Source organism: Homo sapiens, chromosome X, assembly GCF_000001405.40.
Source record: "Homo sapiens chromosome X, GRCh38.p14 Primary Assembly".
Lineage (NCBI taxonomy): Eukaryota > Metazoa > Chordata > Mammalia > Primates > Hominidae > Homo > Homo sapiens.
In genome coordinates this window covers 113,529,495-113,540,950 of record NC_000023.11, presented here as the reverse complement: position 1 = coordinate 113,540,950, position 11,456 = coordinate 113,529,495, and the positions used below count along the sequence as shown (strand labels likewise).

At 34.8% G+C, this 11,456-nt stretch overlaps 1 annotated feature.

Moving 5' to 3' along the window:
- Positions 653–1,436: an enhancer, noted in NCBI's record as "OCT4-NANOG hESC enhancer chrX:112782802-112783585 (GRCh37/hg19 assembly coordinates)". NCBI's record gives its function as "activates a minimal SCP1, AML or CMV promoter by ChIP-STARR-seq in primed H9 embryonic stem cells {active_cell/tissue: H9 hESC(primed)}" and the evidence as "EXISTENCE:reporter gene assay evidence [ECO:0000049][PMID:30033119]".

The following is an 11,456-nucleotide window of genomic DNA, read 5'->3' as shown; positions in this document are numbered from 1 at the left end:
TTTGTTATCTGTTCTGTTCCATTAATGTATTTTTCTGTCCATGGGTTAATATCTCACTTTGTTAATTACCATAGATTTATAACCAACCTATAACAAAATAAAACCACTTTGCTTATTTTTTGTTAATTGTGCAAATTTTGAAATTTCTTAGACTTGTAGTCTTCCATATGAATTTTAAAATAACGTTTTTTTAAGGTCTATGGGGAAAATATCTTCTAAGATTTTAAACGATATTGTGTTGGATTATAGTCTATGTTGGTGACAGTTAATGTCTATCATACTGAATTTTCCCACTTATGAACATGATAGATTTCATCATTTATTTACATTTTCATATTGTCTTTCAAATTTCTTTCAAATTGGCTGCACATCATTTAAAAAAATTATTTCTAGATTTCCTCCACTTTTTGTTGCCTTTTAAAATCATGTTTTTATTCCATTTTATAATTTTTATTGTCAGTGTAGAGAAATACACTTTGCGTATGATACTGCATCTAGTAAAGTTATTGAACTACATTAATAATGACAATGTGCTTTTTTTCTTTTTTAAACTTTATTTTTATTTTTAGCACAATGTTGAAAATAATATGTGATTGTAGATATCTTTGTGTTATAACGATTGCTAAATAATACTTCTTTAGTATTGCCATTGTAGGCCAAAAATAAAATCCTAAGCCCCCCAGCCAACTGAATGGACTCCATCTTGGCCAAGCAGATCCCAGAGAAACTTGAAAAACTGAGTTCTTGGCCATGACAAGACAGAAGGTCAGACAGGCTCCCTTATACTCCCCTCCTTTTGGAATTCAGGTACAAGTGACCAGCATTAACATTAAAATAGAGACCATAAGACAAAACAAACTCTTTGTGGCAATAAGACACCAAATTAGAACCTGACTCTGGTATAGCATCATGTGACAGATAGCAGACCCTAAAGGAAGTAAAAATATTTTCCCCTTAAATATATTTCTTTGACATATTTTTAAATGGCCCTGCAAAGCCTTCTTTTGTGGGGAAAATTTGCATCTATAGACCATCTCCATTAAGGCAGCCAGGCCTTCCCTTTCTAGGTCTTTCTCACATCTAGGTGAGGTTAAATGAGAGTCAGATACCTTTAAGGTTTGATAAGAGACATTTACCTTCTATGCCATCTGAAAGCTGCTACCTATGAGGCTTCATCTACATAACAAAAATCTTGGTCTTCACACCCTCCCTTATCTTAACTCAAGCATTTCTTTCTTTCTACTGACTTAATCCCTCAGACAAAGCGTAACTCTTTTAACCAGTTGCCAATCAGAAAATTTTTGAATCCACCTCTTGCCTGTAAACCCCACTTCAAGATATCCCACCTATCTAGACTGAACCAATGTACACCTTTATTGATTTATGATTTTCCTTAGAATTCCTGTCTTCCCAAAATGTATAAAACCAAACTATAACCCAACCACCTTGGGCACCCTTTCTCAGGACTTCTTGAGACCATTTCCTGTGCCATAGCTACTCATACTGGCTCAGAATAAACCTCTTTAAATATTTTGGAGAGTTTTTTTTTTTTTTTTTTTCATTAACACCATTAAGAATAATGTTTATTCTAGATTGAGCATGATGTTTACTCTAGGTTTTTGGCAGAAAACATTTATCAGTTTAAGAAAATTTCTTTTTATTTCTAAATAGCTATTTGTAAATAGCTGTTCTCAAGGAGAAGTGATTTTTATCTAATAATTTTTCTGGATTGTTGGGGCTGAGGAAACAATACTTCAAAATGAAGGCCTCAGAAGCAAAAGTTTTCTCTGATCTTCTCCTTCCCTCCTGTCTCTCAATCTTATTCTCACCTGAGGTTAGCCATACAAATTAGAATCCCTCTTCTCCAAGGTGGGTCATAGAAGGCAGAACCCCTTTTCCCCAAAGCCAGCCATAAAACCCCAAAATATTGCTCTAACTATCCCTCCACCTTTCTGTATCAAAGCTGGCCATAAAGAAAAGATCTGACCTACCTTGTTTGACTTTGGGTCATAAGATCCCCATTCCAGAGAGGGCCCTGCCCCACACCCAGAAGAAAGGAAAGTGTGCTCAGAGAGGCCAAGAAGACTCTAGACAGAAAGGCAGAAAGGCCTTGCTAGGTTTCCCCTCTTAGTCTATTAGCATTGGATCCTACCTTTTTGTCCAATCATATTTCTACATGGTTGTCCGTACTTTGTTGAAAATAAGCATTAAAATGGACAATTTCTCCTGTATCTCTGGGTCTTCATTCTAAAGACTCCTGTGTATACACATTAAATACATTTGTATCCTTTTTTTTTCCTAATTAACCTACCTTTTGCTAGGTAATTTTTCAGTGAACCTTCAGAGGGCCAAGAACTTGGCCCCTATAAGAGCCACTGAAATGAGCATACTTCTCCTTTAATCGGTCATCAATTATTTGATGAGTTTTCTGAGGGAGCCCACCTAGTTGCAATGCTTTTTTTTTTTTCTGGCAGACTGCTGAACTAATTTTTTGTTTTGTTTTGTTTTGTTTTTTGTTTTTTTTTGTTTGTTTGTATTTGAGACGGAGTCTCGCTCTGTTGCCCAGGCCGGAGTGCAGTGGCGCAATTTTGGCTCACTGCAACCTCTACCTCCCGGGTTCAAGCGATTCCCCTGCCTCAGCCTCCTGAGTAGCTAGGACTACAGGTGTGTACCACCATGCCCAGCTAATTTTTTGTATTTTTAGTAGAGACAGGGTTTCACCATGTTGGCCAGGCTGGCACTGAACTCCTGACCTCAAGCAATTCGCCCGTCTTGGCCTTCCAAAGTGCTGGGAGATTACAGGCATGAGCCACTGTGCCCGGCCTATTGAACTAGTTTTAGAGATATTTTAACTTGGGACTTTTGCATTTATGTTCACAAGATTTGTCTATACTTTTCTTGTACATTCCTTGTCTCTTTGTTATCAAGGTTAGATTAGCCTTATAAATAGATCTACCATTTTTATTCTGTGACAATTTGTGTTAAGGTAAGGTATGCTAAAACTTAAAAATGTAGTAAGATTCACCCATGAAATAGTTTGGGCCTGCTGTTTTGAGGGGCAAGTCTGGGGAAAATGGTAATTTAGTTGCTAAATATCTGTGATGTTATTTTACTAAGATTTTTTTTTATTTCTGATTATTAATATCCACAATAAAAATTTTGTATACTTTTGTTCATTTATTTTTTAATTTTATGAAATGAATATTTTGTTATTTGTAAAATCTCTGTCTTATTTGACAAAACCTTTCCTGATCCAAATATTATTTATTTTTGCCTTTTTCTCTGGTTTCGTAATCATCCCTGACAGAGGTTTATCTATTTTATTAGGCCTGTCGAATAACTGATTCTTAGTTTTTTTCTCTGTTTTCCGCTTTTAAAATTTCTGTTCTTATCTCTAGTGTCTTATTAATTCTATATTCTTTAGGTTTACCCTGTTATTTTTTTCCCTAGCTTTTTTTGAGCCTAACCTTTAACTCAATTCATGTTCAATCTCTCCTCACTTTTAATATGATAATTTGTTGCTATAATTTTATCTTAAATACTTAGTTAGCTGTATCACAATTTAAAACTTAGTTTTGACAAGGGTAGTTGGTTAAAACATTTTGTAACTTCAATTTTTATTTCCTTTTTTATAAATACATTATTTCAATAGTGCATTTCCAGTTTCACCATCTCTTACACATACTTTATTGTTAATTTTTAATAAAGTTTTTGTGTTGAAAGAAAACAGTTTGTGGACTTTTAGTGTTTAAAATTATTTTAAACAAGGTCAAATTTTAAATATTTACCATGTCCTTGAAACAAACACGTTTCCTTTACTTGGATATTTCTATATATATCTACAAATCTATCTTGTTAATTTTGTTATTCAAACCTTGAGAATTTTTCCTGTGTGACATTATAGTCTTTGAGAGCATTGTGTTGAATCACTTACTGAGTTCATGGTTTTATAAATTGCTTTTCATAATGTCTCAATTTTTGCTTCATGTATGTAAAATCTATATTCTTCATACACTTTAGTTTTTCTATATTCTTAGTTGATTATTTCTTGTTTCATTGTATATTGCCCTCGATTATTACTGCCTTTTTGCCCTCGTTTTATTTTATGTGAAATTAAAATGCTTTATCAGCTTTCTACTGTTAACATTTTTAAAGTGTCCATATAAGCTCGTTTTAGGCATTTCTCTTTCTTTGTGTACATATTTATGTGTATGTATATTCAGTTTGAAACTCTGTCTTTTAATAGGTGAGTTTATTGGTTTCTGTTATGATTACTGATATCTGTAATTGTTCCTATCATCTTTATTTTGCGCATTATTTACTTGTTTTGTTTATCATGCTTATACTCTTGTGTTGAATGGATAATGTTTATTGCAGTTATATTTTCAGTTAAAATTTGAATGCTATGATTATTTTAAATTTTAAGACAATTTTATTTAAAATTTTACCATAAAATTTTAATATGCATCCTTACTTTTAGACTTCTCTAAGAAAGTATGAATTAATTCCATATCTCTACTTTCCTCCCAAAGAAGACAAAATTTTAGGCAACCTTAGTAACTCATTCTAAAACATTTCCTCCATACTCCCACCCATATCTGATGTTATCACTGTCTAGTCTTTAGAATTTTCCTTTCATTATTAAGCACAAGCATAAATCTACTTACACACACAAAATTTACTTATCTTTAAATATCAATGATTAAATATACTTATATTTTAAAATTAATTTTATTCTCATTCTTATTTCCCTAACTTTATGTTCAATTTATTTTTTATTTATTTAGTATTATTCACTATTTAGTATTTAACTTTCTGCTGTTTTTTTTTTTTTTTTTTTTTTTTTTTTTTTTTTTTTTTAGATGGAGTCTTGCTCTGTCACCAGCCTGGTGTATAATGGTGCTATCTCAGCTCACTGCAACATCTGACATCCTTGTTCAAGCAATTCTCCTGCCTCAGCCTCCCGAGTAGCTGGGATTATAGGCACGCACCACCACACCAAGCTAATTTTTGTATTTTTAGTAGAGACAGGGTTTCACCATGTTGGCCAGGATGGCCTCGATCTCCTGACCTCATGATCCACCTGCCTCGGCCTCCCAAAGTGCTGGGTTTACAGGCGTGAGCCACCGCGCCCAGCCAACTTTTTGCTTTTATATGTCTTTCAGTAAGGGTCTGTTGCTAGTAAACTTAGTCCTGATTGGTGTGAAAATATATCTTAAACCCCACACTTGAATTAATTTCAGGTGCAGGGTTATTTTCCATCAGCATTTTGACACTATTATGCCATCATCTATTATTACTAAGCCATTGTTCTAAATATAAAGTTGGTGGTGAGAGTGCCTGCTTTTCTTTCACGGATAACCTGCTTTTCTCTCTGGTATCATTTTTGCTTTTTTTTTTTCTTCAATATTTTAAAATTTTTCCCTGTGGATTTATATTTAAAATTTGCTTCAAATTTAGGAGTTATTTTAAATTATATACTTCTTCAAATCTTTAAATATCTTATTTTTCCCCTGTAATATACATCTCCCCCATTCTCTGACTATTCTCTACCTTAGGAACTCATAATAGACATAATTAGAACCACTTAATCAGCATTATTTTCATCTAACTTATTTACTTATTTTCATCTTTTAGACCTTTGTACTACAGTCAGGGTAATATAGCTGTATTCTGTGCTGTATTCATCATTGTTAACTTTCAACTCATGAATTTATTTTTGTATTAATGTACTCATTCTAGGGCTTACTTCATTTGTTGAGTTTTTTTTTCAATTTCAATAACTAAATACACACACGTAAACACACAGAGAATATATTAAGAGAAAAAGAGCTATTTACTTTCTGAATTATCTAATTAAATAATTTCATATGTCCTTGTTATTGTTTAACATTTGATTTTTCCATAATTTTTCTTATTTTTCTAGTTTTTCTTTCATCAATTATTTCTCTGAGGATAGTAAACATACTTATTTTACAGTCTTTGGATCTCCTTTTTTAGTTTTAACTGGAGCAAAATCATCTTTTGATTGCTGATTATTTAATCTGCCTTTCTCAGTGTTAGATATTTTCCTCTTGTTAAGTCTGAGTTTTTAGTCTAGTCTTGACTAATAACTCTCTTTCATTTCTTACCATCTCTCCTACTCTCTTCCTGCCTAGTGGTCTTAGAGTTGCCTGCTTCTGGTGCTTCTAACTGAAGAGTATCCATGGAGTACTGCTGATCCAATGACCAATTCAGCAGGCACTTTGGCTAAGCTACTACTTATAAATTTATGTCTGTGTCCACCTCTAGGCAGTGTTCAGAAGTAACTTAATTCAACCTCCACCCCTGAATAGGGATAACCTTCCCAAGGCTTTGGTCTCTGGCAGTGAGTCTGGATCTGGACTCATACTCTGGCTGGAGGACTTTTAGCCTATTTAACATAGGAAACGATCTCTCAGCTGCCTCTGCCTTCATTTGGACCCGGAGACTATCAGTTAAGACTGTTGAGTTCTGCTCTTCACTTTGCATATTTCCATGCTATTTTTAGTCCATAAAGATGATTACCTTATATATTGTGTTTTCCTTTTCTTTTTCTTATTAGATTTTCTTTCTCACTGCCATATGCTTGAAGAAGAAAGAATGTTTCTTTCCCAGGCTGGAGTGCAGTGGCGTGATCTTGGCTTGCTGCAACTTCTGCCTCCTGGGTTCAAGGGATTCTCCTGCCCCAGCCTCCGGAGTAGCTGGGAATATAGGCACACATCATCACACCTGGCTAATTTTTTTGTATTTTTAGTAGAGATGGGTTTTCACCATGTTGGCCAGGCTGGTCTCAAACTCCTGACCTCAAGTGATCCACCTGCCTAAGCCTCCCAAAGTGTTGGGATTACAGGTGTGAGCCACTGCACCTGGCTAGAAAGAATGCTCCTTAATCAGCCATATCAGAGTATCTTTTAAAGACACTTGTATTTAATCTCACTTAGAGATTTACATTTCTCATATAGGAAAGATTCATTTGTAAGTTTTAGCCTGTCATCAACTTCTACCACCAGCAGAGAGTAGACTGCTAAAGATAATTGCAGACCAGAGACAATTACGTTTTGATACATTAATAGTTTTAGGAAAATACATGAACTACAGAGGTCTGCTTAGCATCATGGTGTGTTGTGTCTCTTATGTGAGGGGTCGTAAGGTACTGGGGGAAGTAGAGAGAATTTCAGGATCTCAGCAAAAAACAATCAAAAAGGAATAATTAAGGTGACAAAGGAATTTCACAATTAGGCTAATGAGAGGCAAGCATATATCTGCTTAAACCTATGTGAGGAACCAAAAATTCCTGTGTTTTAAATGCTATTGGCAAGTCCTAATCGTAACTGTCTAACGTTGATGATGAACTCTAAAACTGATTCTTTATGTATTCCTATTTAATATTTCCTGCTGATGTGTTACCTTGGCTAAGACAGCTACAGTCTCTGTTTTTCATTTTCTATTCATAGAATACCCGGTTATTACTTATTATAATATTCATAGCATTATCTTGATTGGTAACTTAGTACCAGAAATACATGTGAACATGTTTGCTGCTGCAACACAAATAGCCTTCTATTTTATGTATATATAATACATAAAATATACATAAAATAGATAAAATATATAAATAAAATAACAAAATAACAAATTTAAATTTAAATTTATTCAAGTAAATATCTAAAAACATCCTTGTAGCTTGAGTAGATAACTCATACACTCATTTAGAAAATTTTGATTCAAACTACTTAAATCTCCTATCGTCAACATACATCCCTAAAAATACAACATTAATAACATAATAATATCTCATAACTAGCTAATTTAAGCTGAGTCACACAAAATACTAGGAAGGGCAAAACACCTTGTGACTTTAAAGGCTGTAAAAAAATCTTCCGCTGTGTATTCAACTAAAAATTGTTGAGTACATATTACATGGAAGACATTAAAAACTACCTTCTATGGGGCTATAAAATGATAAGATATTATTTCAGTCAATACAATTATAATATAGTAGTATAGATGAGGCAAAGTAGGAGGGAATATTAATTCCCTCCTAGTATAGATTATGCCTATCTTATTTACTAATAAATTCCCAATTTTTAGCTGGGCATCTGGTCGTCCCGAATTAAAATTGCATTTCTGAGCTCCTTCGAAGCAGGTGTGCCCATGTAAATAAGTTTTGAGCAATGGTACATAGTGTCTGGAGGGCGATCATGACATGAATATAAATAGAGGGGACATACCCTCTCGTTTCTTTCTTCCTCTCTATTTGCTGGAATGCATGTGTGATGGCTAGAGCTGAAGCAACTATCTTAGGCAATGCAGAGGAAAATACAGACATGAGTATACAACAATAAAAAATGAAGCCATATTTATGATGAAGTGGAGTAACATAACAGACCTAAACTATCTTTCTCTAAAGTGCTTTTATGTGGTGAAAAATAAGATCCAATCTTCTTTAAGCTACCATACATAACTTGGAGTTTTCTGTGCAGGCAATCTTAATTCTAAATGAAAGAGATATGTAAACACCTTACAGTGAAATGCCATAAGTTCAATAACAGAGGAATAAACCTCTATAGGTGTTCAAAAGAAAAGATGGTTCCACTCTTCTTCACAGGTTTCAAAAATGTCCCACAATTTCCAAAAATTTTAAGTTTACAATCAATGTAATAAATCACACAAGGAAACACGGCACCATTAATAAAACAAACATCAGATACAGACCCAGAAGGATGCTAAATATCAGTATCAAAACAAAATATATCTAAAATATTTAAATAAATTTAAAAAATATGAATAAAGCCCAAGTGACCATAAAAAAAGAGCTACAGCTGGGCGTGGTGCCTCAAACCTCTAATCCCAGCACTTAGGGAGGCCAAGGTGGGCAAATCGCTCGAGGCTAGGAGTTTGAGACCAGCCTGGGCAACACGGCGAAACCCCATCTCTGCAAAAAAAATACAAAAAAATTAGCTGGCTGTTGTGGTGCATGCTTGTAGTCCCAGCTACTCAGGAAACTGAAGTGGGAGGATCACTGGAGCCCAGGAGTTTGAGTCTGCAGTGAGCTGCGATTGCACCACTGCACTCAAGCCAGGGCAACAGAGCAAGACCTTGTCTCAAAAACAAAAGAAAAAAGAAAAAAAAAAAGCTTCAGATTTGAAAAATATGCAAATTACATTTCTTAGAAATAAAATCATAAAGAGGAAATTTATGTATAAGAATTCCAGCTTCCATTAATGGTACAGCACTTTAGTCATACCAACCCTCCAGAAAACAAAAATTATAAAATCTGGAAAAAAATACCAAGAAAACCTACCAGAATACCAAAAAATCTGCATTCTAATCTAGTGATTTGAATACAGTGGACAGCAACTAAAAACAGCAGAAATGGAAGAGAAGTCAGCTATTGAAAGACAGGAATTACACTTAGTGAATTTTGAGTCTTTACTCCATTTTGCCAAAAGGCACTTTCTGATCCATGTATCATGTTGTAGCATAAAATCTCACTCTTACTGTCTTGACATGTTAGAGGAAGAGTTTAATGATGGCACAATGGCTAGAAAAATAAGGTTAAAAATCCTGAAACAAAGAGAAATGCAGAGGGGTGAGCCCCAAAATCAACGTGTGAACCCTGCTCAAATTATAACCATCAAAGGACATATGTGCAGAGAAGCTTCCAAGAATCTTGCACAAAACAAGTCTTGAAGACAAATTGAATGGTAATTTCATCTGGTAGCTACCACAGGAGAGACAGACTTAAAAGTTCAAGTCCAGACAAGATAACTGTTTGTAGAACATAGGTGAATCCATGTTTTGTACAATGTATCACCTACTCTGTCCATTATATATTTTTAATTATAAGACATACAACAAGAGAAAAAATGTGAAATATAGTAATAAGAAAAAAAAGCCTCTAATGCCAACCACAAAATGTCAAAGATGTTGAGATTAGTAAATAAATAGATTAAAATAGCTAACATATGTTCTAGAACTTTAAGGAAATTATAGTCATGATATCTAAACAGATGAGCAATATCAGCAAAGAGTAAAATCATAAACATGAACACAATGCGAATTTTAGAATTGAATAACTAAAATGAAGAATTTACTGGATGATCTTAACAGCAGGTTAGAGCAAAAGAAAAAGCCAATGAACTTGAAAATATGTCATTAGAAATTACCTGTCTGAAGAATAAAAGATCAGAGCCTCAGTGACTTTTGGGACACGGTTAAATAATCTAATATATGTTTTTGTAGTCCCAGCAGGAAAGAAAAAAGAAAAAGACAGATAAGATGTTTGAAGAAAACATGATCAAAACTTGAAAAGAAAAAAAAATAAGATCTTTACTTCTGTACTTACAGGTCAGTGTAACAGGTTTTATAAGCTCAATAAAGATGCAAAGAAAAGATTGTACTCAAAATGTTGAAATACAAAGATAGAAGATCTTAAAAGCATCTAGAGAAAAAGGATCCATTATATAAATAAGAAAAAAAATAAGGCCGGGCACGGTGGCTTACACCTGTAATCCTGGCACTTTGGGAGGCCGAGGCGGGCGGATCACCTGAGGTCAGGAGTTTGAGACCAGCCTGACCAACATGGAGAAACCCTGTCTCTACTAAAAATACAAAAAATTAGCCGGATGTGATGGCGCATGCCTGTAATCCCAGCTACTCGGGAGGCTGAAGCAGGAGAATCGCTTGAACCTGGGAGGCAGAGGTTGCAGTGAGCCGAGATCTCACCATTGCACTCCAGCCTTGGCAACAAGAGCGAAACTCTATCTCAAAAAAAAAAAAAAAAAAAAAAGAAGAAGAAGAAGAAAAGAAAAGGAACAGCTGAATTCTCAACAGATACAGTAGAGTACAGTGAAAATATGACACCTATGACATCCTTCAAGTCCTAATAAGGCTGGCAATTAGTGAAGGAATGAGCATGATTACTTGCAGGTGGGTAAGAGCAATACAAATGAGGCCAAACAGGTTAGCACAAGGACCCCAGTCAGTAACGCATGATGCTCCAGAAAGGGGCCAGGAAAGATATCTGTGGTCACCTGCAGTTGGCAACTTTTTTGTCAAAGTAGGAACTGTTGGAGGGAAAGTCCCAAAGGCCGAGCATACATAGTAGTAAAGAACCATGTCCCTAAGGTGAACTTTGATCATTATAATAGTAAAAAACACACCCCTGGGTGGAAATTTTAAATGCTAATGAGACATGCGATGTATGTGCTAGCGTGTACAGTGACTGTGGATGCCAGGAGACCACCCAGGACATGACTAACAACAATGACCGTTCCTTCCCCTTCATGAATAATCACGTAAGACACCCATAAAGGGAGTTTCCTCAGTGCCAGTAGGCACTGTCTCATTCTCAAGGAGCCTGCTCTGACCCAGCTATCAGAGTGTACTTTTGCTTTGCAGTAAACTTCTTGCCTCCTCTTACTTTGGACTCA